The 4594-nt window shown below is 35.3% G+C and overlaps 2 annotated features.

Moving 5' to 3' along the window:
• Nucleotides 2001-2130: an enhancer, noted in NCBI's record as "active region_16519". NCBI's record gives its function as "activates an Ori minimal core promoter by ATAC-STARR-seq in GM12878 lymphoblastoid cells {active_cell/tissue: GM12878}" and the evidence as "EXISTENCE:reporter gene assay evidence [ECO:0000049][PMID:35858748]".
• Nucleotides 2191-2420: an enhancer, noted in NCBI's record as "active region_16518". NCBI's record gives its function as "activates an Ori minimal core promoter by ATAC-STARR-seq in GM12878 lymphoblastoid cells {active_cell/tissue: GM12878}" and the evidence as "EXISTENCE:reporter gene assay evidence [ECO:0000049][PMID:35858748]".

The raw sequence follows: 4594 nt of genomic DNA, 5'->3' as shown, positions 1-4594 counted from the left end.
GTATTAATGGAGAGATATTCCATGTATATAGATAGGAAGACAACATTGTCAAGGCGTCAGTTCTTCCCAACTTGATCTATACATTCAATGAAAGCCTGATTAAAATCCCTGCAAGCTATTCTGTGGATGGGGATAAACTGATTTTAAAGTTCATAAGGAAGGCAAAGACCCAAGATAGCAAGTGCAATATTGAAGGACACAAACAAAAGTCAGAGAACTGACACTACCAACGATAATCAAGACAGTGTGATATTGGCAAAAAAAGAAAAAAAAAAAGAGAGAGACAGACAAATCAAGGGAACAGAATAGAAAGCCTAGAAATGAATCCACAGAAATATAGTCAACTGATATTTGACAACGAGCAAAGGCATTCCAATGGAGAAAAGAGAGGCTTTTCAACAAATAGTACTGAAAAAAGTAGACATCAACATGCCAAAAAAATAGACACAGATTTTTCACTGTTCACAAAAATTACCTCAAAATAGATCATAGTCTAAGGCACACAATTGTAGAACTCCTAGAAGGTATCACAGGAGAAATTCTCGGAGACTTGGGTTTGGTGGAGACTTTTTAGATACAACACCAAAAGCACTTTCCATGAAAGAAGAAGTTAAATTGAACACCACTAAAATTAAAAGTTTCTGATTTGCAAAAGACATGGATAAGATAATGAAAACAGAAACTATTGACTGAAGAAAAAACAACGTTTGCCAAACAAATATCTGATCAAGGACTGGATCCAAATACACAAAGAACTCTTAAAACTTAACAACAAAACAACACAATTTAAAAAGCAGAAAAAAAGATTTGAACAGGCACCTCACCAAAGAAGACATACAGATGGCAAATAAGCATATAAAACGATGCTCAGCATCATATGTCAGCAGGAAAACACAAATTAAAACAACCATGAGACACCACTACACACCTATAGGAATGGCCAAAATCCAGAACCCCGACCACACCAAATGCTGGAGAGGATGTGGAGCAACAGGAACTCATTCACTGCTGGTGGGAATGCAAATGGACAGCCACTTTGGAAGATAGTTTGTCAGTTTCATCTAAAATTAAACATCTTCATTCCAGCACTTGTCCTTCTTGGTATTTACCCAAGTTAAAAACTCACGTCTAGAGAAAAAGCCTCATATAGGTTTATAGAAGCTCTATTGATAACTGCCCAAACTTAGAAGCCACCAAAGTGTCCTTTGGTAGCTGAAAGGATAAACAAACTCTGATAATACATGCAATAAAATATCATTCAGCGATAAACAAGAAACGAGCTATCAAGCCACATGAAGACATGGAGGAAACTTAATTCATGGGGTGAGAGAAGCCAATCTTAAAGGGCTTCATACTGTATGATTTCAATTATATGACATCCCGGAAAAGGCAAGGGATTTTCGGGGATGGGGGGAGATGAATAGGCAGAATATGGAGGAATTTTAGGGTACGGATATGAGTCTGTATACCACTGTAATGATGGATACATGTCAATATACATTTCTCCAAAACCCATAGAATGTACAACACAAGGAATAACCCTCAACTATGGACTCTAGTTAATAAGGTATCAATAGTGTCTCAACAGTTGTAACAAATCTATCACACTAATGTAAAATGTTGATAATAGGGGAAATGGTGAGCTGAGGGGGTTAGGAAATACATGGTAGCTCTCTGTATTTCCTATTTATTTTTTTCTGTAAACCGAAAACTGCTGTAAAAACAGTGTATTAATCAAAAAATACAAAGAAAAAAGTTACTGGAATTCACTGAGATGTGGCAGTGAGTAAACAACGTTTTATCAATTTAATAAAAGTTTTCTTCAGTACTTTAATCAAAGACAAAAAACCAGAAAAACAGAAAATAAGCCAATAATTAAAGCAATTCAGCAGAATTTACTGAGCCTTAACTTGGGTATAATAAAATTTGGGGAGCATTTTGATACATACAGAATCATAGAAGAGAATGGAGGCTCTCAGAACGGCTTGCTTGCCTGCTCACAAAGACAACAAGATCAACTCACATGATTAAACCTCATGGCAAGTGGAAGGCTCTTATCACAGTGTTAGGCACATAGTGCATACTCAGGAAAGCTGACACAGTGCCAGGAAGTTTATGGTCTGCACCAGACAAGCAGAACACGAATGCATGCAATAAAATAGAGAACTGAGAACTCATGGTACACTACAGTAACCAAGGAAAGCCTCATAATGAAACTGGAGTTTGAGCTAATATTAAAGTAAACAAAAAATAAGAAGAAAATATGATAGGCAAATAAAAGGAATGCAGGCAAAAACAAGAAAAAGCAATAGAAAGGTAGGAAGAAAGACGATGTGAACAGAAATGCAGAAGCACGCCCCTTACTCCTTGATGAGAAACACTGCATGGATCCTTCTTGCCAAGAAAGTGGTGGTTCCCGGGAGCCATCAGCATTAGACTCTTGGTTATGAGGTGAGCTGGACCCAGCAGATGGAGGGGAAGCAAGCGTGAAGTGCAGACAGAAGAGGGTGGCTTCACAGCCCACATCTGGGCCGTCCAAGATGGGAGTGGAAGACGGTCACAGCACAACTTGTCAGGAGGCTGCTGGGACGTCAGTGGAGACGTTGACCTCTTCAGGATAGCGTTCCCTGAAGTTTCAAACACAGAACTAATGGCAGCCCAGGGTGCCTCTCTGCAAATTTTATGCTGTAGCTTGAAGGACATTTCCTAACTTAAGAACAAAATGAGCAGTGGTACATAAATGTTAAGATATTATCTCAATTTATTTTATTTGGTAGTTTTAAAAAGCTTGAATAGTACTGCTGGTTTCATGGAACCTAATGTTAGCCACTTTTCTTTAACAGCTTTATTGAAATATAATACCATAAAATTCACCTACTTAAAGTGTACAATTCAATGTTTTTTAACTAGATTCAGAGTTGTGCCAATATCATCAAAATAAAATTGGGCACATTTTGATCACCTGAAACAGAAATCCTGTACCACTAGCAGTCACTTCCCATTCACTCCAACTTCAGCCTGGGCAATCTCTAATCTATTTTCTGTCTCTGTAGATTTGCCTTCTCTGGGCATTTCAAATAAATAGGACCCTATAATATGTGGTCTTTTGTGTCTTGATTCTTTCACAAAGTGTGTTTTCAAGATCCATCTATGTTGTGGCATGCATCAATCATCACTTCATTCCTTTTTATCGTCAAACAACATTCAACTGTATGGATATATCACCTTTCGTTCACCCCTTCTTCATTTGATGGACGTTTACAGTGTTTCCAATTTTTATCTACTATGAACAATGCTGCTGTAAATATTTGCCTACAAGTGTTTCTGTAATCATATGTTTCATTTCTAGGAGAGAAATTACTGATTAATAAGATTAATCTATATTTAACTTTTGAAGGAACTGCTAAGCTGTTTTCTAAGAGGTTACACCATTTTATATCTCCACCAGCAAGATACATGTTACAATTTTTCCACATCTTTCACAATTGTAACTTTCTATTTTATTATAGCATCCTAGTAGGTGTGAGGTGGTATTTTATTGTGATTTTGATTTGAATTTCTGTAAGGACTAAATGTGTTGAGCATCTTTTCATGTGCTTATTGGCTATTTACCATATTTTTTAGAAATGACTATTCAGATAGTCTGTTTTTAATTGAATTGTCCTTTTATTCTTGAGTTGTGTTGTTTTAAATACATATTCTGGATATAAGGCCCTTATCAGATATATGATTTGCAAATATTTTCTCCTATTTTCTGGATTGCTGTTTCATTTTCTTTACGGTATCATTTGAAATATAAAGCTTTAATTTTGATTAACTGCAATGTATCTATTTTTTTATTTTGCCATTTGTTTTTGTGGTTATAGCTAAGAAGCTATTGTCTAATCCAAGTCAGAAAGAGTTGCTCCTGTATTTTCTTTTAAGAGTTTTATAGTGTTTGATCTTACCTTCAGGTCCATGATTTTAAGTTTATTTTTGAGTATGGTGTGAGGTAGGATTACAACAGATAACTACAGATATAAGTCCATAGTTTTCTATTTTTGTACTATATTTGTCTAGTTTTGATATCAAGGTAATATTGGGCTCATAAATGAGTTGGGACATAATTCTTCATCTGCTACTTTTCCAAAGAGATTGAGTAAAACTGATGTTAAACCTTCTTTAGATGTTTGATAGACTTCCCTGTAGAATGCTCTGGTTCTGGAAATTATTTTTAAGGAGTTTTTAAAGTATAAATTCAATTTATTTGATGCTTGGTTGCAATATTGATTATCTATTTCATCTTGATTGATTTTTGATAGTTTGATTTCTGCGGGATGGGTTTATTTCTTCTAAATTATTAAATTTATGGGAATAAAGATACTCATATTTTGTCATATGTTATTTTTAATGGCTGTAATGTCTGAAGTGACATCCCCATCTCAGTTTTTATATTGGTGACTTGTCACATTTATTGTAAGTTTATCAACTTACTGGTTTTTTTTGGAAGAACCAGTGTTTGGTTTCATTGATTTTCCCTTGTGTTTTATATTTTCAACTTGGTTCATTTTTGCTACTATCTTTATTACTCATTCCTTCCCATTGCTTCCAGTTT

This window comes from Homo sapiens, chromosome 2 (genome assembly GCF_000001405.40).
Source record: "Homo sapiens chromosome 2, GRCh38.p14 Primary Assembly".
Classification (NCBI taxonomy): Eukaryota; Metazoa; Chordata; class Mammalia; order Primates; family Hominidae; genus Homo; species Homo sapiens.
This window is presented reverse-complemented; position numbering and strand designations above follow the sequence as displayed.